Source organism: Homo sapiens, chromosome 14, assembly GCF_000001405.40.
Source record: "Homo sapiens chromosome 14, GRCh38.p14 Primary Assembly".
NCBI classification, from domain to species: Eukaryota; Metazoa; Chordata; class Mammalia; order Primates; family Hominidae; genus Homo; species Homo sapiens.
Window position 1 is genome coordinate 69255903 of NC_000014.9, and position 22824 is coordinate 69278726.

General features: G+C 49.7%; 1 protein-coding gene and 1 long non-coding RNA gene across 12 annotated transcripts in view, besides 1 other annotated feature; one reads left to right on the forward strand and one right to left on the reverse strand.

The window, feature by feature from the left end:
- GALNT16-AS1 (GALNT16 and EXD2 antisense RNA 1) overlaps window positions 1-4625 on the reverse strand; it is a 77510-nt gene extending 72885 nt beyond the window's left edge. For 4 of the 5 annotated variants that reach the window (NR_184252.1, NR_184250.1, NR_184253.1 and 1 more), the window contains exons 1-2: window positions 3100-3843; window positions 1152-1399 (exon numbers count right to left, since the gene is read on the reverse strand). This is a non-coding gene — a long non-coding RNA (GALNT16 and EXD2 antisense RNA 1). Of the gene's footprint in view, window positions 1-1151; window positions 1400-3099; window positions 3844-4387 lie in introns of those variants that run through there. The other variant, NR_184249.1, reaches the window with a different exon arrangement.
- Window positions 3729-22824, forward strand: part of GALNT16 (polypeptide N-acetylgalactosaminyltransferase 16) — a 126707-nt gene continuing 107611 nt past the window's right edge. For 6 of the 7 annotated variants that reach the window (XR_007064036.1, XM_047431618.1, NM_020692.3 and 3 more), the window contains exon 1: window positions 4256-4565. Coding sequence is in view for 6 of the 7 variants with exons in the window: in XM_047431618.1 (XP_047287574.1) it covers window positions 4389-4565 (177 nt within the window). In the remaining variant the exon portion in view is untranslated. Of the gene's footprint in view, window positions 3845-4255; window positions 4566-22824 lie in introns of those variants that run through there. The other variant, XM_017021498.2, reaches the window with a different exon arrangement.
- Window positions 5302-5361: a silencer, noted in NCBI's record as "silent region_5880". NCBI's record gives its function as "represses an Ori minimal core promoter by ATAC-STARR-seq in GM12878 lymphoblastoid cells {active_cell/tissue: GM12878}" and the evidence as "EXISTENCE:reporter gene assay evidence [ECO:0000049][PMID:35858748]".

The window sequence follows — 22824 nt, forward strand, 5'->3', positions numbered from 1 at the left end:
CGCATGCTCCACTTTATGCTGGCACCTCCGTGGGCATCAGTCTCCTCCCCTGTGGAAGGGGGATGATTGCGCCTTCCTCACAGGGTCGTTATGAGTATTCTGAGATCGTGTATCAGCACATTGCCTGTTGCTTGGTAACATACATTCTGTCCACCATCCCTGCCTTCTTTCCTGCTTAGAGCAGACATGGGCCAGTAAGGGTATCCAATCAGGTCCCTTCCCTACCTTCTGGGCCCTGCTGCTGTGGACAGAGCAAGAGCTTCTGAGCTGGCCCAGCACCTCAAATGGGAGGCTGGGGCCCTGCTCTGTGCCTCTCCCCTGCCTTGCCTCCAGCCTGCTCAGCAGAGGCTCTGGAAGATGCAGCCACCCACCCACGGGCAGGACAGTCTATGACTGCTGGACATTAGCCATGGCCAAAGAGGCTGGCATCAGGTCTGTTCTTGGCAGCAATAGTGAGCAGTCCCTTTCAGGAGGCCCCTTTCACCTCCAGCAGCCAGCAACAGCCTGCAGGAGAGAGCCCCTGGGGGGTGCTTATGAGGCACTGGATTTTACATGACTTTATTTCATCCTATCTTTCCCAACAAAGTTGTGAGGTAAGAGCTGTCAGTGCCCCATTTTGCAGTTGAGGAAACTGAGGTTAAGAATTTGCCCAAACCACTCTCTTAATTTGTGACAGGATCAGCATTCAAGTTCAGGTTGTCCAATTCCAGAGCCAGGGCCTTACACTGAGCTGTACCCTTTCCCCCTCGGTTATCCACTCCTCCACAACCCCCACACCAAAGGCCCAGAGGCAGAGAGCTCCCTGGGGCATCTGGGAGCCCCAGGGGCATGTGGAACTTTGCCCAGCTTACCCTGAGTGCTGGCTTTGACAGCTTTAAAACAATATGAACTGTGCCTAAGAGAAATCCTGAAAAGGAGGAAATGCAAGTTCAAAGTGGCACAGTTGGTGAGACCCCCCCACCCCAGGACATCTTATATCCCTCCTTTTATGGATGAGAAAACGGAGAACTGTGGGCAGGGAAAGTGAGACTCCTGCATACAGAAATTCAGACCACACTGCAGATTTCCCAGTGGCCTCAGAAGCCCTGTACTCGTACCCAGACACAAGCGTTGAAAATGGCACAGGACTTAAACCGAGCTTCACCACTTACTTGCTGTAGGATTCCAGGCAAGTTGAGTAGCCGTTGAGCTTCAGTGTCATCATCTGCAGTTGGGGATATGATCATCCTTAGCTCAGGGTTGTAGGGGCTTTAGAGACAGTATAGGTGACAGTACCTGGTAGGTACTGAGTAAACTGCAGCTATTATGATGACTCTTGTTTTCACAGTTCAAAGTATGTGAAGAAACAGTGAATTCCTTAGGTGTTGCTTTGATTCTGTGATGCTGCTGGAGTCCATTCCTAGTACCAGAGAGGAAACAACACTCATTGTCATTTCTGAGCATTGAAACCTATCCCAGGGAGGGCCAGTTCTGCACCCACTTGGGATTACAATCTGAAACGAAGACCACAGACTGTAGCCAAGGTGGCAATTCCTGGTCTTTAGCTCTGCCAGAGTGCCTATGGCTTCAGGCACATTACTCCACCTCTGTCTATGTGGAATTCCTGTCAGTCAAATGAGCATGGCAATTACTTGCTGTCTTACCCCCACCCCACCCCCATCATCCCCCAGGGAAGTGCCCAACTAAGGAACAACTGTGGTGAAGTCATCTAGAGAGGCTACGCTTCACTTCTGTGCAGTCTTTCTGGTGGTGGGGGCCAAGCAAACCTTCTCTCAGGGACAGAACTACCAGGAGTGACCATTTGGGGCAGATATATAGCATCCTCACCACTGAGCCCTGGGCAGTAAGTGGTGAGATGTGAGAAACCCTGCCACATTCCAGCCCATCCCACCCCTCCCTCCTTCCCCCCATGGAGCCTTCCTTTTGGAGTCACCAGAAGCCCCAACTGTCTGGTTTCAGTCAGCATGGTCCAGCTTCATCCCCGTGCCGAGGGGTGAGTTTGGAGCCTTTTACCAGGAGGTGATAGGTGATGTGATGTCTTCGAATCCCACATCCAAAGGCAACTAGAGATGCACAGACCAGGCTGGGATGAGGGGAGCAGCCTATGACAACAGGGCTACTCCCCAAGTTTTCACCTGGCTCACCTGAGAGATGTGTGAAAATGGGGGCACCAGGAGGGTAGTTCCCTTACATTTTCTTGGTTGACCTGAGAGGCCTGTGGAGCCTGATTCCCAAGGAGCAAGGTCTTTCCTGGCCTCCCACAAATGGCACCGCTGGATCTGCCCCATGATTCCTGCGGAAACCAGATGGAGGTTTGGCAGTGGTTTTCTCCATCTATGCAAACAAGCCCTGGCCCCTGGCGCAGTCTTATTAAACTCCCCAGGGGAGAGAGACCTGGGAGAGCATCTGGCGTCTCCAGACTCCTGCCCCTGTTGTGACTGCCACACCTTATGCCTGAAATTCCCTGCTACTTGTGTAGACCCTTTGTGAGGCCCTCTTTGTGCATTCTCTTCTTTCTAGGTCCCATTCCTGCGTGGGTCACTTTTGGACTTGTCTAAGTGTCATCGTAATTAGTCTTCTGAGTGAGGATATCGTATTGCAGTAATGACCCTGGGTTTTCCTCAGCAAAAACCCAACTAGGGTTTCTTCACCTCAACAGAAATGTATTGAGCATCTATTATATGTGCGGTTCAGTCTCGAGTGCTGGAGAAATGGAGAAAAGCCACCTGATTTTACTTCTATCTGTCAGGGTGGTGCTCATGGGATGCTTGTGGGGGGGCATGATGCTGTGACTTCAGTTTGCCTGATTCCCCAGATGGCTTCATTTAGAGGCTGGACCCTATGTGGGTCTTCGGAGTAGCCATGGTGTCCAGCAGTGCCAGCAGGAAGCAGACTCCTCAACAACTCTGCCCCGGCATTCAAGGACCTCCTGAGTTCAGACTCACCCAGCCTGGCCAACCTCAACTCCTATCAAATCCTAGGCCCCCTGCAACGCCTGGCAGCTCTCTCTCTTGAACACATCAAGCTCTTCCATCCTCTGGATTTTTGCAAGGCCTATTTCTGCAGTCTCTCCCCTGTCCTCACCTCCCCCTTCCTTACCTCTTAAGTGATTCATCCACCTTTCTGAGAGCTTTCCCAAAGGCCACCTTACAATAAATTATTTCTTCCTCTGTTGGATCCCTACTTTGTTGTTACACATCTATTCATTGAGCGCTCTGTGCCCGACACTGTGCTGGTTTCCTAAAACTCATCCAAGCCTCTTGCTTTCTGCCTGGAGTGAAGAGTAGTTCACGTTCTGATTCTCAGTGCCTCTAGGGCTGGAGCGGAATCTTAATGTCTGTGTCCTCGTCTCTCACCACCGCGTTTTGCACTTTGTCGAAAGGTGTCAGATGGTGAGATGGCTTCTAGACTGGGCTCTGCCCACTAATTAGCTGTGTGGCCTTGGGAGAATCATCCGGCCTCTCTTGCTGCCCTTCTTTCCGATGAAATAATGCTGACGATGATATTTCAGGGTTGTCCAGGGGTCAATGAGGCGGGATAGAGGGAAGCATCGTGAAATCTGGGAGCCCCAGGCCAGCGAAAAATGTGGAAGGGCCGTACCCGCACTCTCCTAGCACTGGGTGTGAGGCAGCGTCGTTTCCCCTTCGCGCTCTTCGAATGTCAAGTGCACCAGCTTCCAATCCCTCCTCTGGGCGGGCCCGGTCTGGCTAATCTCAGCTGCAGATTCCAGTACAAACTCAGGACTCTCCCCCGCCCAGCCGCCCCTACACAAGGACTCGCCGAACACACCTTGAATCCCGCGCCAGAGCGCAGCCCGGAACTGCAGCTCGCGGCGCGGGCCCAGGTCGGGGGTCGCGCGTCTCCAGTCGGTGACTCAAGGCCGCTCGGTCCGGGGGTGGGTGTGGGTCGGCAGGACCGACCAGGGCCGCGCGGGGGCAGCTGCCGGGCGTTCGGTCACCTAGCGGTGGGAGCCGAGGCTGGCTTTGGCCAGTCGCCATTCCGCCGCGGGCGTCTGTCTCGCCGGGTTCCCGGGCGCGGGAGGAAGGCCCGCGCCGCTTCCCACTCGGCGCGCTTCTCTCCCAGTGCGCAGTGGCCTGGTGGGTCAGCCGGCGGCGGCTGGAGCGCGGGGCCGGCCCTGCGCACGAATGAATGGGCGCCCGGGGGACGCGCGCGCTCGGGGCTGAAGGGCATTAGGACCGTGAGGATCGCTCCGCGATCCTGTCTCTCCCTATCACCCCCCCGCCCCCCCACCTCTCTCCTTTTTCTGCTCTGCAGGACTGAGCAGCTAGGCGCGAGCGAAAACAAACAGCTGGGGCTGCGAGCGCCCCCGCCCCGGCCCCGAGAGCACGCCGGCCCAGTCCCCCACCTGGGGCGCCCGTCTGCCCACCATGAGGAAGATCCGCGCCAATGCCATCGCCATCCTGACCGTAGCCTGGATCCTGGGCACTTTCTACTACTTATGGCAGGACAACCGAGCCCACGCAGCATCCTCCGGCGGCCGGGGCGCGCAGAGGGCAGGCAGGAGGTCGGAGCAGCTCCGCGAGGACCGCACCATCCCGCTCATTGTGAGTACGCCCCGAGCGTCGGCCGGCCGGCTAGGGAGCCGCGGCGCGCGTCCAGACCCTGCGCGGCGGCCGAGGGCGCGGGGCCCGGCCAGGGCTGAGTGCCCGCTGCGCCGGGCCGGCTTTGTATATGTTGGAGCATTCCTGCCCGTTGTTATGGCAACCTCTGCCGGGCGGCGGGGCTGGGGCGCACCGACTAAGGGAGGGTGACAGAGGGTGGGGGCTGGGAGAAAGTGCTGCAAGTTTGGTGGGCCCGGCGTGCGCGCGCGGCTGGGAACGTGGCGGCTCTCCCGGCTCTGCGCTGCCGGGGCCGGGAGTCTGGGGGCTGCGGGAGCCTCGTGTGCCCCGGAAGGCTGCCGGGCCCAGCGCGCGGCGAGCGGGCGGTGGGAACCACTCGCAGCCGAGCGCGTAGGTGGCAGTGCGCAGCCCCTCTCCAGCCTTCTGGGGGCAGAGGACATCGGGTGGGGGCGTGGGTAGGGGAAGGCTCTCTAGGCGCTGCGCCTGGCTTCGAACCCCCTTCTGAGCCGGGTCAACTTGAACCCGCTTCTTCGGCGCGGACACCCAGCTTCCCCGGAGTTCTCTGGGTTGAGGAGAGGTCTCGCACTGTACGCGTCTCTCACTCCCAACCTTAGGGTCCGCCACCACGGGTAGGTGGGCAGTGTCAGCGCCCGAACTTGGCGATACCCTTGCATGAAGTCAGCCTCGCGACATCTAAGCGGGCAGGGAAACAAAGGCAGTGTGGCACAGCGGGGGCGGCGGCGGGGCTGCGGGGGCCCTTGGCGCTCTGGGGACCCGGGCGGGGGCGTGCGGAGCCGCAGCCGCCCTGCAGGGGGCGATCCTGTCGCCGTCTCCGTCCGAGCCCCAGGTGACAGAGCTGTGCGTGGCCAGGCAGGGGCACCTGTTGAGGCGGGAGGCTTTGGCACCCGCCGAGAGTGCGCTCGAGCGGGCGCATTCTTCCAGACGGGGGCGGTTGGTGGACGAGAGCCTCGGACGACCCTCGGGAACTACCAGGGCGGGGCAGCCTGGCCGGATGAGGACCAGGAAGAGGAGAGCCGAGTGGGGCGGGGGTAAAGGAGTGAGGAAGCGTGGCGATTCCGACAAGGAAAGATCTGGGCCTGGGGGTGGAGGGGTGAGGAGATCCGCGGGGGAGGTGCAAGGTCCGGAGGGCTGAGGCTTGTGTGGAGCCGAATCCGAGAAACGCATCCAGACGCGGATCTGAACCCCAGGAATATCGGGAAGTTCATTGGAGAGTGTCCCCTCATATTCCCATCCTGCCCCAGATTCCGAGTCCCCTGCAAAGGAAACATTATTTCAGGGCTTTGCCTGAGGAGACCTGGGGCGGGGGGGTGAGGTTGTGGGTTTTGTCCTAGATACCAGTCTGGGTGAACTCTCTGGGGGCAAGCCTGATTAGGTGCACTGTTCCCTTCTGGGCTGTTCTCCCAGGACACTGTTTCCAAAGCACTTGTCGCCCTTTGGACAGAAAACTGATAAGGAAAAGCCTCCTGTGCTGAGGCCCCAGAGTGTTGTGATCTGAGCAGAGGGACAGGTTGGAGCTGGAACTGTCCAAACCAGCAGTGGCCTCCAGACCCCAGGGAGCTTCCTCTCCAGGAGCCCAGGCTGCCACATTCATACTCAGTGGCAGGAAGAGCCCTAGTCTCAGGCAAGGCAGGCTGGCCAGATGCTCTGTCCCTCTTTCTGGTGAGGCGATGAGAAGAGGGTCTGAGTTGGAAGGGGCGGAGAAAGAGGCTGGGCAGGGAGGAGAGGAGGGAAGAGAGCACAGGAGACTGCTGCTCAGAGCCTCTGCTTTGGAACCCGGAACCTGAACCCTGACCTGGCCCATGCACCTCTCTCCTGCTCCTTCCAGAGTCCTGTAAGATGCACTGGGAGGGCCGCTCACATTTCTCAAGAGTCCCAGAATGGTGTAGGGGACCTGCTGGAAGGATTCAGCACTCATTTTGAGGGGTGGGAATTGGAGGTCATGAGAATCACCAGTAAACATCCTCTTGTCCCTGCTTATTCCCACAGGGTTTGACTTGCTGCAGGTAAGAAAAGGTCTCAGAGCGGGAAGCTAAGTTTAAAGTATGAAGGAGTATCAGGGAGATACCTGGGAGCTGGGAAGTGAAGGTGCAGGAAGAAAGGGAGAATGGAAGTCCCTGGGAGTGGCAGAGCCTTCTGTGGCCACTTAGGGGCACAGCCAGCTCCCTCTTTGTTCTTAAGCTTTAGATGCCTGTTCCACCAGCACTGACCCCCCCGTCAGGCACCACTTTTGACAACTGCCTTGCATTGTTTCATTGTATTCCTCTCTTCCAGTTATTTCTTCCATGTGATTTGCAGCTGAATGTAAGTGATGCATGCGGGAACTGTGCTGGAAGCTCCTTGCATCCCCACATTGATGCACACAGCAAGATTTCTTTTTTTCTTTTTTTTTTTTTTGAGATGGAGTCTCACTCTGTCACCCAGGCTGGAGTGAGGTGGCATGATCTCGGCTCACTGTAACCTCCACCTCCCGGGTTCAAGCGATTCTCATGCCTCAGCCTCTCGAGCAGCTGGGATTACAGGCATGCGCCACCACTCTCAGCTAATTTTTGTATTTTTAGTAGAGATGGGGTTTCATCATGTTGCCCAGGCTGGTCTCAAACTCCTGACCTCATGTGATCCATTCACCTCAGCCTCCTAAAGTGCACAGCAAGGCTTCTTAAAGGAGTGAAATAGGATTCTCACCCATTTCTGGGGGCAGTCAATGCTTCACATCCCCCTAATATTATTGTATTATATTCATATCTCCTTAATATTTTATTATCAACTGTAACCTCTAAGTAAGGAGGTGGCTCTAAGTAAGGAGGTGGGGGATGTACGTTCAAGCTTCTGCAGGCATTGAATGCTTTGTTCAACTTAAAAGGGGCAGGTGCAGCTGAGGATTTACTTTCTCCCTGCAATTTGTGGTAACCGCTTATTCAGAAACATTTCTCTGTCTAGTTGGGCCAGGATGCTGCATGTGGATTTTCAGATTCTTAGAGAATGATGTGGCTAGCCCTGCTGTCAGAGGCTGGCAAATTCAGACAGGCGTCATCATTGCTCCCTTGGGGAATCAGAGAGCTGAGCTGGGAAAGGGAGGGTCTGCAGAAGCGCCTGGACCTGGAGGCAGCTCTGCTTTCACAATGTCTGGACTATTTGAAGCCAGCCAAGTTGCTTCTGGACCTTGGAGATGCCTGTTTGGCATTACAGGGTGTCGGCATGGCAACCGTATGGCCAGATTTCTCAAGAAGGTCCTGATTTTTAATATTCTGTCCTGCTGTCGGCCCAAGTGTCACCAATTTTGATGTGAAAAATTTGGCTATGGAATCTGTAAAGCTAAAGGGAGATACTGATTCCATCCCTATATGGCTGCTTACGATGCGGCAAGGTTTGTGATTTTTCCATGCTGTACCCGATGCAGCGAGGCAGTAGATTTGGGGACATCCCCTTGAATCTACACTGATGCACGCTGGGACAGGACAGCAGCCAAACTGGGAGGCAGGGCTGACACAGCCGGCCTTGAGTCTTCAGTCCTCACAGTTGGCGAGAACATTTGTGGTTGTTTTGGTTTGGGACTTAGGTTTTCCATATGCCAGTTCACTAACAGGCATGGGTGGGAGGCTAAGGTGTTATATGGAATTTCACTTTACATTTTTTAAAAAGACTACTCATTTTCGGTATAGGTGCACTCATTTGTGTCAACAGTCTCCTATTTAGAACTGTGAAAGATTTAGGCAAGAATTTCTTAAACCGGAGTTTCTTAGCCTGAAATTGGGATACTACTGAATGACCATGGACACAATACTTAACATCTCTGGACCTTGGTTATTTTGTCGGCTGAAATTGAGTTAAATGATTTGCAAGGTTTGTTGATCCTGAGATAAGCAGATGATAGCTCCATTTCTAGATGTAAATACATGGCTTTAAGGGGGAGTTCTCCTGAAAGGTGTTGTGAAGTTTCTGCTTATGGAGGAACATGCTCCTGTCAGTGGAAGGTCCCACAGGAACCCTTGAGGCCTCGCAGGAAGCCCCCACTTACCTAGCAGAAGGGGATGCAAATGATGGCTTTTCTGGTAGTGTTCTCAGAGAGCGGATGCTTTAATAAGATCTAAAATAATTTATATTTTATTTATAATGTGTGCATTTTGGAACTGTGGGAATATGATTTGCCTAAATATAATAACAGAAAGTGATTTTGTATTTAATTGGTTTAGGTACCACACTTGAGAAAGAGAGTGAGGAGGAAGAAGCACAAACACCCACAATTCCCTTTGTCAAAATGTTCAGATTTTTTTCTTTTCTTTCTTTTCTTTTTTTATTTTCTCTTTTCTTTTTCTTTCTTTTTTTTTTTGGACACAGGGTCTCACTCTGTCACCCAGGCTGGAGTGCAGTGGCACAGTCATGATTCACTGCAACCTTCACCTCCTGGGCTCAAGCGATTCCCCTGCCTCAGCATCCTGAATAGCTAGGACTACAAGTGTGTGCCACCACACCTGGTTGATTTTTATATATTTTTGTAGAGACAGGGTCTTTCCATGTTGTCCAGGTTGGTCTCAAACTTCTGGACTCAAGGGGATCCTCCCACCTTGGCCTCCCAAAGTGCTGGGATTACAGGCGTGAGCCACTGCGCCCAGCCAAAAATGTTCAGATATAAAGGGCCTGATTTCCTGTCAATGGGGTCTGTTCCTGGGCCATTTCGAGACCTGCCTCTGGGACATGGGGTCAGCCCAGAGGGAACTAAGACTGGGGGTGGGGAGGAGGGCTGGCAGCCCGAGAGTTACCTTCCTGGAAGGCCAGAGGTCCAAGGGCACGGGACTAGCTTTAGGGTGCTGCTCATGCTTCTGCAGGTCTTTTATTTCTGTGCTGTAACAGCAATTTACCCCCGAGCTGCTCCGAGATCTTTGGGAGCATGGCTTTCTTCCATGGTGGCTGTGTTTGTCCTTGCTGCAGGCAGAGGAAACCCTTGGCTCTGGAAATGCCATTTAAGGTAGAGGTAGGAGGACACTGGTAGACCAGGGCCAGGCTGAGTTGCCCACGGGACTGTCTCACTGTAATGGAGGAAGCTTCTCTGAGGTCAGAGGGGAGCCTATAGCCAAGCCTTCATTACAGTTACAAGATTGAAGATTTATACCCTGTCTGCTTCTTGAGGAGACCTTAAGCACCTTCCCCATGAACAGCAGAGCAAAGACACAGGAGGCTAAACAGACGTGGAAAGGAGCAGAGGAGCCGAGCTTTCAGACATGAGTTAACTGCTGATTATACTTGGGCAGTAAATTCAGTTCAGTTAATCAGTGTGCTTGCCTGGTACAGTCACCGACTGTGTGTAGCCCACTCTGAAAACGGTGTCAAGTGGTTTAGTCCCTCTTCTCTGAAATCTTGTGGTCTTTGACCCGTACCTGTCTAGCCTCCATAATCACTGTATACTCTGTTATGTTGATGGTGATGACATTCGTTGGAGACCTGGATGCTGTGTGTTTTACAGGCTTACCTCTCTGAATCCCCTCAACAACCTAATGAGATAGGTACCATTGTTAAGTTCTCATACGAGTAAACACGCTTACTCATGCTCTGACAACTAGTAAGTGCACCCGACACTAGGTGTTTCTCACTCCAAAGCCCAGGCTCATGTCTTCCTTCCCCTGGAGCATCTTCTGGTCAAGATCCAAGCCTGGTCTATCAGCACATCTTTTCTGGGGCACCTGAATCAGCACCTTGCTTTGTATTCGCTCCACAAACATTCGATGGGGAAAAAAATGCAAAAACGATACAGAACAAAATGTTGGCAGTAGGGAGGTAGGATTATGGGCAATCCCTCCTTCCATCTTTTGGGTTTTTACCCCCAAATTTTCTGTAATAAGCATCCATTGACATGATAATGTTCAAACCAATAAGGATAATTATTTTTAAAACATATTTGGTGACTGGTTAAGATCACTCTTGACTCCAAAATCAAAGTATAACCTTCTTAACCACATCTCACACTTCTGACTCCCCATCAAAACTTAGCATTGAGCCAACTTTCAGAAAAGGCAAGAGACTTATTTGAATTATTCTGTAGGGTTCCAAGGAATAGAATTGAGGCCAGGAGGTGAAAGATGCAGGGAGAGAAATTTCTTTGCAGCAGAAGGAAAACATTCTCACAGAACCATCCAACATGGGAGCAGTCCAAAGGCTGGCCAGGGTTTCTCTCCACACTCCCCGTTGGCCCATAAGTGCTCCCAACAGCAGCAGGAAAGGGAGAAAAAAGACTCTCTGTCATGAAATAGGGCCCAATTATTGCACTGCAAGAGCCCTGCACCCTGGGAAGTAGGCGGGCCCCATGCACTGAGGCCAGCCCAGGACAGGGTAACGACCAGAAATCCATAACTGCTGCTGTGCTCCTCTCTCCCCTGTTCCTTTGGAGCTGCCAAGCAAGGACAGAGAGAGGAAGCCAAGGCTGGTCAGAGACAAAGCTGCAAAGTTGGAGGTGCTGGTCTTTAGCATCTTTCCTCTCCCAAGACCGAGGCCTGCATAGGTGTTTCTGCCTGGTGGAGGCACCTTGAGTCTGACCTTCCCATATTCCACTTCTATTTTCCCAATCCAACCCAGGTGTGATTTCCAGGTTACCTGTCCTGTCTCCCAGACCCCTGACTGTTGCTGCCTGGGGCGGCGCTGGCTGGCAGTGCCCCTGAGCTGTGTGCTTATGGAGAAGCCACAGCCCTGGCCTGCCTGTCTCCCCACACCCCTAAACTTCAGATGCGCCTTTGAACTGTATCTGGCTAGAGACAGTATGGTCACCCAGGGAACTTCTGTGAACATTTCAGACCAGATAGGAGTGGCAGGCCAGAGGTACTTTGGGAAAGAGGGGGCGACTGGAAGAAGCTTGTCGATCATATTATATAGGCAAGATAAGGCTCAGGCAAAATTTGAGGAGGCATTGAGGCAGGTCTGCCCAGGTATAGCCTTTCCACTTTTCCAGACCCATTAGGAACAACTTCACGTTTCGCTGAAGAGCACAAGCTCCTCTTTCTTGCTGTTTCATAAAGTGAGGTGTGGCTCTGTGTAGAGCAGGGATGACTTTGTCTCAGAGTTCAGAGGTGAGTGACATGCCTTAATGTGAATTGGGCTGTTGCAGGATTTTCCTGGCCCCTAGGTGGGCCAGGCAGAGTGGAGTGGCCCAGGATGGAAACAGATGTTGGCTGTCAGCAGGGGATGGAGAGAGGGAATGGAGAGAGGATGTGAATGAAGTCCAAGTGATCCCACTTCTAGGCTCAGCCCTGCCCTCAAGGGACTGTGTTTCCTTAGGTGAGTCAGTCCCACTCCCTGGACCTTAGTTTCCTCATCTGTCAGGTGAGGGTTGAACTACAGGATCTCGGCGGTCCCTATCAGCTGAAATAATCTTGGACTTTGTTGAACTTCTCCCGCGAAAGTGAGGTGGCCTTCAGCCAGGGCTTAAGTCCTGATAGTGCTTGAATTAAGGAGAATAAGACCAGAGGGTGAGGTGTACAGAGACCTCGACCACATGTATTAAGAAGGGCTGTAACCTTTAAATTCTCATAAGGAATAAACTGGCCCTCATCCTTCCCCTTTCTCTTCCCTTGAAACATTGTCTGATGGAGCTACGCTGCTCCCTGCCCGCTGTACTAGAAGCCTAAGATATTTGTGAGTGTGTCTGAGAATGCACACAGGCATGTATGCAGAAGTGTCTACAGGTGGACTTCAGATACCTCAACAATCTAGGAAGACCAGAAGGAAGCTACAAAGACCCCTTTGCAGAGCATAAATAGCCACAACACCCATGGACTTTACTCAGAAGACAGGCATGGAATTGCCCATAGGCCACAGTCTGGAAATTAACATTGTTTATAAAAACTGGTTTCAGTAGTTCAGGGGGTTGGTCATCTCCTGGCAACTTTCAGTTTTCCTAGGTTACAAATATAGTAGATTGGATGAAGCAAGATGAGGGAATTGCTAGGAGCTGCTGACACACTGAGAAGTGACAGCTGATAGCAAAGGCCTAGCCAGGAAGGGCCGTGTGAGGTAGGAGGGGCCCCTCCTGCCTCCACACACACACAGGGTCCGAATGCTGAAGGCAGCATCTATTCATTCTCTTGACAATTATTTACTGAGCATGTACTATGTGCCAGGACTGTTACAGGCCTGGAAATAACAAACCAGGTAAAATCCAAGCTCTCAAGGGGCTCATATTCTAGTGGGGAGAGGGAGAAAATAAACAGAAAGATATATTAGGTGGTGGCAAATACTATGAAAGTAAAGCAGCATAAGGGAGCAGAAAGATGGGAAAAGGATGGCCAGGAAAGGCCTCTGGTAAGACTTCATTGGAGATGGCATTGGCATGCAAAGAGAGAGTGAGCCATGCGGACATCTAGGGAGACAGTGTTCCAGACAGCCTGGGCCAGGGCACCATCCCGGAGAGTGTGTGCTTAGAGGGGCAGCTGGAGCAGCAGGAAAAGTGCCCACAGCAGAGGCCAGACACGTTAGGCCTTGCAGGCTGTGGTAAAGATAGGCTCAGAAATCTGTCCCTGAATCATCAGGAAGTGATAAATTCCACTCGGTGCACAGGCTGGTAAGTCAGGGAACTGTGTCATTCATTTCAGAACATTTTCCAGCAAGATGGTCAAATTTAGTTGTTAGTGTTGGTTCTTTTTTCTTTTTTTAAGATTTTTTTCCCTCTCAGGATAATGTGTGTGTATAAAAGCGTTGGTTCCTAAGGAGGTAAGTGTAGGTTCGTTGGAAAATGTTCTGTGTCTTGGAACACTTCATTTCCTTAAAATGTGGGATCAATGTGTGTTGTGTGTGGTATGTGTGGTGTGTGGTGTCTGTGGTATGTGTATGTGTAGTGTGTATGTTGTGTTGTATGGGTATGTATAGAACGTGTGATGTATGATATATGGGGCGCACGTGTGTGTGTGTGGTGTAGTGTGTGTTGTGTGTGGTATGTGTATGTGTGGTATGTCTGGTGTGTGTGTGATGTGTGGGGTTTGTGTATGTGTGTGTAGTATGTGATGTGTGTGTGTGGCATTTGTGTGTGTGTGATGTGTGGGGCTTATGTGTGTGTGATGTGTGTGATGTGAGGTTTGTGTGTATATAGTGTGTGTGTGTGATTTGTGGGGTTTGTATGTATGTGTGTTATATGTTGTGTGTGTGTGGTATGTGTGGTGTGTATATGATGTGTGGGGTTTGTGTGTGTGTAGTGTGTGTGTGATGTGGGGTTTGTGTGTATGTAGTGTGTGTGTGATGTGTGGGGTTCGTGTATGTCTGTGTGGTGTGTGAGATGTGGGGTTCCTGTGTATGTAGTATGTGTGTGTGTGTCTGTGTGCATTTGTGTGTTTGTGTGTGTGTGTGTATGATGTATGTGTCGGGGGTGTAGTGTGTGATGTGAGGCTGGTGGAGGGTGCCGGTGCCTGAAGCGATGTAAAAGGGAAAAGGTAACGGAGCCCTTGTTGAAATATTGGAGTGGGCAGGCTGGGGAGGACTCTGTCTGGAGGGAGAGTTTTGTGTGGGATGGAGAATTCCTCTGAATGGTGGTACCTGATCAAGCCCGCCTTTGTCTCCTTGTCTGGTTCGTGGTGTTCTCTTCTGGTACAGTTGGGACTCTGGAAATTGTTTTCTGGCAATGCAGGAACTTGGAATCCCTGCCCCTCCCCACAGCTTCTCCTCTGTTCAAGCAGACCCCCTGGAGGCTGAAGCCTGTCGGGGCCTTCCCTAAGACACAGAGTAGGCACTCGTGCGGGGAGTAGTCACTGCTGGGCAGGAGTGGGCACTGCGCAGCTGTTTCTCGGGCAGGTGGTTGATAAAAGGGGCTGCCCTCAGGAGGCAGACGGCTCTGCCCGGCCCATCTGAGGTGTGTCCTCTGAGGTTCGATGGCTCCCTCAGTGCCCAGGTGACTGGTATGACACAGTGTCGTGTGTCTCTGGCAAGCTGCAGGCACCTTTTTTCTGTGGTTTAGGTCACACACAATTCCAATCCCCTGGCAGTCGTGCCCTGTGAGATGCTTCTTGTCAAAGTTCAGATTTTCATCCCTTCATCTTCTCACAGCAGCTCTGCCTGTAGCTTCTTTAAACAAACTGTATGGGAGGGCTTCTGATATTTCAAGGTCTTTCATGTCAAGGGAAGCTGGCCTTGGGCTGCCACAGCCCACTGGGGCAACCCGAGTTGCCTTCCAAAGTTGCTGGATCAGCGGTCCGTTCCAGGGGGCTTCACTTCTGACGCCTCACACATCTGTGACCTGATTATTTCCTTGGAAGTCATCTTTTCCTCTCCCTGTGGAAGTTCTCACTGGATAGGGAGATGCGGGGCATGTGGCAGGCTTGGGGCATTATCCCAGGGATGAGGGGAAGTGCAGCCTGGGGCTCAGGGAGAAAGAACACGTGATCGCCTAGTGATGTCTTGCTGGGGATCTGGTGGTTTGAAGGGGCGAAGCAGTTAGGACTGAGCACAGCCCCCACAAATACCGCACCAACCTAGAGGCCGGATGAAGGAGAACCAAAGGTCAGGGCAAACACACCGCAGGGACCAGGGAAGGCAAGGGAGCAGCAGGCCAAAGCACTTCTCCAAGTGGAAAGCAGAGGCTACCCACGGTGATGTGTGAGTGCAGTCTTGGTGGTGCCTTGCGGGGGCATGAACATGGCAAGGGCCTTCTCCCAAAACAACAACGGGACATGGCTCATCGCTGGATGCACCCCGGAATTGCCAACTCCAGTTGTTTTTTGTATAGCAGAGAACACAGCGTCACCCAACTACCTCTTCCAGACAATGCAGCATCCCTGAACCACACCGGGGCCGGGGCTCTGGAACTGGGACTCACAGCGGGGTGAGGATGGGCTAGCTCAAGACCTATGGAACTTGGGAGATCAGAAGGCCAGCGCTGGGGCAAAGCTGAGGGCAGGCCAACCAGAGAGCCCAAGAAAGGGCCCTGGCAGAGAGGAAAACTGGGCATAAGGTGACAGGTCTGAGCGAGAGTGCTCAGAGGAGCCGGCCCCTGGGATCCCCGAAGCCAAGCTGAGTCACAGGAGCTCTGATGGGAGGCTGGCATCTGCCCAAGGCTGGGGAGAGCCCTCCTCATCACAGGGTCCAGACTGTGCTCACCAGTGCAGTGGTTGCCGGCCACAGGTGGCCACCGAGTGCTTGGAATGTGGTTAGTGCAACTGAGGAACTGAATTTTTCATTTTATTTGATTCTCATTGATTTAAGTTTTGAAACAACACTCATTTTAGTTGTGGGGAAACATTTGGGAATGTTTAGAACTTCGGTATGTGGAATCTATATTTTCAACTGTAAATTTTTGTGAAATCTCAATACAGATCAAGTATCTGTGCTGAAAATTTAGTATCTGAATTGAAATCTGCTGTAAAATATATATCGGATTTCACAGACTTAGAAAAAGAACTAAAATACCTTGCTAGTATTTTGTACATGTTGAAATGATATTTGGATATATTAGGTGAAATAACATTATTAAAGTTAATTTCGTCTGTTTCTTTTTATTTAATGTGGCTACTAGAAAATTTTAACTTGCATACATGGCTTGCAGTCTGTTTCCACTGGGCAGTGCTGGTGCTCACATTCATTCACATCCCCTCTCTTAAGTGCTAGGAGGGACCAGGTGCTGTGGCTCGTGCCTGTAATCCCGGCATTTTGGGAGGCTGAGGAGGGGAGATCATCTGAGGTCAGGAGTTCAAGACCAGCCTGGCTAACATGGTGAAACCCCATCTCTACTAAAAATACAAAAAAATTAACCGGGCCTGGTGGCATGCACTTGTAATCCCAGCTACTCAGGAAGGGGAGGCACAAGAATTGCTTGAACCTGGAAGGTGGAGTTTGCAGTGAGCCAAGATCGTGCCACTGCACTCCAGCCTGGGTGACAGAGCAAGACTCTGTCATAAATAAATAAATAAATAAATACATAAATAAAAAGTGCTAGGAGGTTGTCCAAGGAAGGTTATACAGTCATGTGCTGCAACAATGTTTTGGTCAACCAGGGACTACATATATGACAGTGGTCCCATCAGATTATAATGGAACTGAAATATTCCTCCCCTACTGACCCTGTAGCCACTGTAATGTTGCAGCACAATTACTTTATTTTAAAAAATAAATTTAGTGTAGACTACATGTACAGTGTTTATAAAGTCGTGTAACATCCTAGGCCTTCCCATTCACTCATCACGCACTCACTGACTCACCCAGAGCAATTCCCAGTCCTGCAAGCTCCATTCATGGTATGTGCCCTATACAAGTCTACCATTTTTTATCTTCTATACTGTATTTTTACTCTACTTTTTATACGTTTAGATACGTACACATGTGAAAATACTTATTGTGTTACCATCGCCTACCATTCAGGACAGTAATATGCTGTACAGGTTTATAGCCTAGGAGCAATAGGGTATCCCATATAGCCTAGTTGTGCTGGAGGTTATACCATCTAGGTTTGTGTAAGTGCACTCTGACATTTGCACAGTGATGAACTTGCCTAATGACGCATTTCTCAGAATGGATAAGGAATGCATGACTGTATACAAAGTGAAGAATCTGGCTACGCATCCTAGTTTACCTTGACTTCAGGATTAGATCTTTCCAGTCCAGCTGCTGCTGAGCTATTGGTTCCTAATTCACCATTATCCGTGAGCATGGGATACCTCCCAGCATGGGCTCTAGTCCTCATATCATCATTAAAAACAAGGTCAATATTTTGTGCAGTGTCTTCTCTTTTAGAAATCCCTTCTAAGCTCTTGCTGTGATGAAAATGGGTTTTGGAGGAGGGGTAGGAGCAGTGGAGGCGAGAAGCCTTTTACTCCCCTGGAAGGTAGAGGGATTATTTCCAGTCTGTTGCTTTTGGTGTTTCGTCTTTGTCCTGTTACAGCCAGAATGACAAGTAGGTCTCAGCTCTAATGCCAACTCAGAACTTGTGGAAGTGGCAGCCTGGAGCACTGTGGTGAGGATTCTGGAGCTGCCTCCAGGCTGAGCGGGAAAGAGGCTATGATCGATTAGCCATGTCTGTAAAGGGCTTGGAAAGGGACCCTAGGACATGCACCTTGTATTTACTAATCCTGCATTAGGTGAGGTTGTCTTCTTGGAGTGATTTTTCTCCACTTTAGAGATCTGACATGCTTTAAGACATCAGCCACTTTGAAGAAGCAGGGATGAGGCTTACACTGAGCCAGAACATGTGCAGAAGAGACATTCTCATCTCCTTGGGCCAGAATCCTAGCTAAGGAGATGTGTGACATTTTAGTAAGCATTCCTGTCAGGAAAGTCTCAATACCCACTTCACATATTTGGTGTAGGTGAGCTTGGCTCTGGTCTGGGCTCAGCCTACTGGCAAGATAGGACATAGTTAGAGCCGTAAACCCAAGAAGAGTAGGAATCTGCAGGGTCTGGAAGAAATGGGAGGGGTTGGCTCTTTTTCTGTCTTTCCTCTTCTTTGCTTAAAAACAGGAGCTGTGGATTTGAGAACATGTCTTGCTTCTTGGTGCTAAATTTCTGATGATGGCTTTGTTCAGGATGCAGCATAGCGTAGTGGTTATGGGCACAGACATTGCAGCCAAAGTGTCAGGGTTCATATTCTAGTTCTGCCACTTACTAGCAAGTTACTTAAGCATTCCATGCCTCTGGTTTCTCATCTGGAAAATGAGGATGCTAGTAATCCGCGTTTTAGAGGGTTGCTCTGAAGATTGAGTTAATTCACATCAAGAGTTTAGGTTAATTCACATCAAGAGTTTAGAATTCTGCCTAACTCGTAGTAAATGCTATACAAGCATTAGTATACAAATTGTTACACAAATTAGTATGCAAACTTGTAATATGTTATTATTTGTTAATTTGTATATTAGTTATCTAATTCTGCATAACAAATCACCCCAAAACTTAATGACTTAAAACAATAATTATTTATTCTCTCTCATTGGGTCAAGGAATTTGGGAGTGGCTTGGCTAAATGGTTCTGGGTTTTCTCATGTGGTTGCAAACAGATGTCAGCCAGGGCTATTGTTATCTAAAGGACTGAAGGTGTTTCTCTCATATTGTTGGCAAGTTGGCATTGGCTGTTGGCAAAAGACCTCAGTTCTCCACGTGGGTCTCCACAGGCCTCCTGTGGGAGGCCTTCGTAGTAATGCATCTTAATAGTATGGTGGTTGGCTTCCCCCAGAGCAAGCAATCTGGGAGACCAAGGCAAATATTGCCAAGCCTTGTATATGTGTGATGCAGCCTTGGAAATCTCATAAACAGAAGAGTAGTAAGATTTTGAGAGACTGCTGCGGCTGCTGGTTTGAGAATAGACTGGAGGACGGCAGGGATAGAAGCACTTTTTGACTGTCCAGCTTGTTCTGGTACTTTCCCCCTTGACCAGAACAGCAGGCCTGAGCTGAATGTTACTGTCCTCATTTTACACATCAGAACCTGACTCAGAGATGGCAGGTTACTTGCCAACAGAGCCAGGATTCTACCAGGGCTGCCCGGCTTCAAAGCCATGGACACACTTACTTGTCAGGATACCCACCACCTGATGGCACAGCTTACAAGGGGAAAACAGATTCTGTGAAGGATCTTAGTTCCCTTATCTCTTCAAGTCAGGATGGGGAGCTTCAGAGGGCAGAGAGGTACTCATGGATCAGACAAAGGATTGGAACGAGAAAGGGGTGACCATAGCAGGTGCCATAGCTGTGGGAAGATAGAGGGACTGGGGCAGAGTTTGGAAGGTCTTAGGGACTAGAAGGGTGCAGCCTGGGGAGAGCCCCTGCAATTGGCTTAGCCTCTCCAAAGTAGAACCCCTGAGGTCAGGGAAATTCTTGGTGTTATTTATTATACCCTAGAGAGCTCTATGCAAAGGGAGCAGGACCACCCACTTGGGATGGAGTACCTTGCAGGAGTAAAATAAATGAAATTGATCAGTATATATATATATCAGTATGAAAGGAGCTGAAAAATATGATGTTAGGGAGGAAAAGAACTGCATTGCAGAATTGATGATTTAGTATGATACCATTTATGTAAATTAAAATAATACAAAACAATTCCATATATCATCCTTGGGTGTGTCTATGTGTGTGTGTGCGCATGCGCACATATACATCTCAAAGTATAAAAGTGGAACTGGCCAGGCACACTTGCTCATACCTGTAATCCCAGCACTTGGGGAGACTGAGGCAGGAGGACTGGTTGAGCTTAGGAGTTTGAGACCAGCTTGGGTAACATAGTAAGCCTCTGTCTCTACAAAAATTTGTTTTTAATTAGCCAGGCATGGTGGCATGCACCGAGTAGTCCCAGCTACTCTGGAGGCTGAAGTGGGAAGATTGCTTGAGTCTGGGAGGTCATGAGGCTGCAGTGAGCTATGATCATGCCACTGCACTCCAGACTGGGCTATAAAGTGAGACATGTATTAGTCCGTTTTCACGCTGCTGATAAAGGCATACCTGAGACTGGGCAATTTACAAAAGAAAGAGGTTTATTTGGACTTACAGTTCTACATGGCTGGGGAAGCCTCACAATCATGGCAGAGGATGAAAGGCAGTGGCAAGAGAGAATGAGGAGGAAGCAAAAGTGGAGACCCCTGATAAAGCCATCAGATCTCGTGAGACTTATTCACTATCACAAGAATAGCACGGGAAAGATGATTCAGTTACCCACATTGATTCAGTTACCTCCCATTGGGTCCCTCCCACAGCATGTGGGAACTCTGAGAGATACAATTGAAGATGAGATTTGGGTGGGGACACAGCCAAATCATATCATCTGTTTCCAAAAAAAGAAAAAAAAAGAAGACCAAAGAAGATACACAGCGCACTTATGACAGTGAGTGTCCTGGAGAAGGATGGGAGAGAGGATCAAAAGAGAGTGTGACTTTATCTGTAATGTTTTGTTTCTGTTGTTTTTGTGGTTTTGTTTGTTTGCTTCAGTTTTTTTATAAGAAAGAAGCTTGGAGGCTGGGTGCGGTGGCGCACGCCTGTAATCCCAGCACTTTGGGAGGCCGAGGTGGGCGGATCACGAGGTCAGGAGATCGAGACCATCCTGGCCAACATGGTGAAGCCCTGTCTCTGCCAAAAATACAAAAATTAGCTGGGTGTGGTGGTGTGCGCCTGTAATCCCAGCTACTCAGGAGGCTGAGGCAGGAGAATCGCTTGTACCCAGGAGGTGGAGGTTGCAGTGAGCCGAGATCACGCCACTGCACTCCAGCCTGGGCAACAGAGTGAGACTCTATCTCAAAAAAAAAAAAAGAAAGAAAGAAGCTTGAAGCAAATCTAACAAAATATAAACAGTTGTTAATTCTGGTGGCAGTGCAAGTAATAGTATTCTTTGTCTTTGTCCTTTTTGGAATAAAAAAACTCTGATTTTAAAGCATGTTTAAAGTAAAAGGAAAGAGCGAGCTTGTGACTTAAGGTTGCTGGATCTCAGCTGATTGAGAAGGAGGGTGCAGTGGAGGACTGAAGGCAAAATGCCTGTTCCCCCAAGCCTGTCACGCACGTGGCACTGTGGTCACTTGCCTGGAGGACAATCAAAGTGATTCTCGATTCTTCTGAACCTGAAGATCAACCCTGATGGACTGGCATTGAAGGCACTGGTCATGGAGAAAGGACTTCCCTGCTGAGAGCCAAGGCAAGAGAGACGAGATCCCAGGACCTGCAGGCCAATCTGTAAAAGGGCTGAATAGTCAAAATGGGTGTGTCTTCATGAAGGACAAATGACAAATTCTTTTGATAGAAAGGTATGAGATCAAAGACAAAAAGCCTTTATTATTATATTTTCTCCTTTTTTTATTATTATGCTTTAAGTTCTAGGGTACATGTGCACAACGTGCAGGCTCGTCACATATGTATACATGTGCCATGTTGGTGTGCTGCACCCGTTAACTCGTCATTTACATTAGGTATATCTCCTAATGCTATCCCTCCCTGCTCCCCGCCACCCCATGACAGGCCCCGGTGTGTGATGTTCCCCATCCTGTGTCCAAGTGTTCTCATTGTTCAGTTCCCACCTATGAGTGAGAGCATGCAGTGTTTGGTTTTCTGTCCTTACAATAGTTTGCTCAGAATGATGGTTTCCAGCTTCATCCATGTCCCTACAAAGGACATAAACTCATCCTTTTTTATGGCTGCATAGTATTCCATGGTGTATGTGTGCCACATTTTCTTAATCCAGTCTATCATTGTTGGACATTTGGGTTGGTTCCAAGTCTTTGCTATTGTGATTAGTGCCACAATAAACATACGTGTGCATGTGTCTTTATAGCAGCATGATTTATAATCCTTTGGGTATATACCCAGTAATGGGATGGCTGGGTCAAATGGTATTTCTAGTTCTAGATCCTTGGGGAATTGCCCCACTGTCTTCCACAATGGTTGAACTAGTTTACAGTCCCATCAACAGTGTAAAAGTGTTCCTATTTCTCCACATCCTCTCCAGCACCTGTTGTTTCCTGACTTTTTAATGATCGCCATTCTAACATTTATGCAGCCAACAGACACATGAAAAAATGCTCATCATCACTGGCCATCAGAGAAATGCAAATCAAAACCACAATGAAATACCATCTTTTTTTTTTTTTTTTTAGAGACAAGCCCTCCCTCTGTGACCCAGGCTGGAGTGCTGTGGTGCTATCAAAGCTCACTATAACCTCCAACTCCTGGGCTCAAGTATCTACCCACCTCAGCCTCAGCCTGTAGCTAGGACTACAGGTGCACACCACCATGCCCGGCTAATTTTTAAATGTTTTGGAAAGACGGGGTCTCACTATGTTACCCAGGCTGGTCTTGAACTCCTAGGCTCAAGCAGGCCTTCCACTTTGGCCTCCCAAAGTCCTAGGATTACAGGCGTGAGCCACCACACTGGTCATATTCTGTCCCTTTAGACATAATATGTGTTTAATTTACAAGGCAGGAAATCAAAAGGAAGGAAATAAAAATCACCCCAAATCCTACCATTCAGGGTTACTGCTATTAATGTTTTGGCAAATAATTGATTCAGATCTTTTTTGATTGATTTTTAAAAAAAGGAAATTATAGATTCTATACTGTTTGTAACTTGTTCTTTTTATTTAACACTATATCACGAATACTCTTCTGTATCATAATCTTCTTCCAAATATTTTTAAATGTCTGTCTAGGATTTCATTGTTGTCTACTGTTCCATAGACTATATAATCACAGTTCATAAATGATGAATGTTTAGATTAGGTTGGACTATATAATGTTGTATTTTAGGTAAAAAATTGTCAAATTGGCAGTTTCGTATGGTCTAACCAAATGTGTTG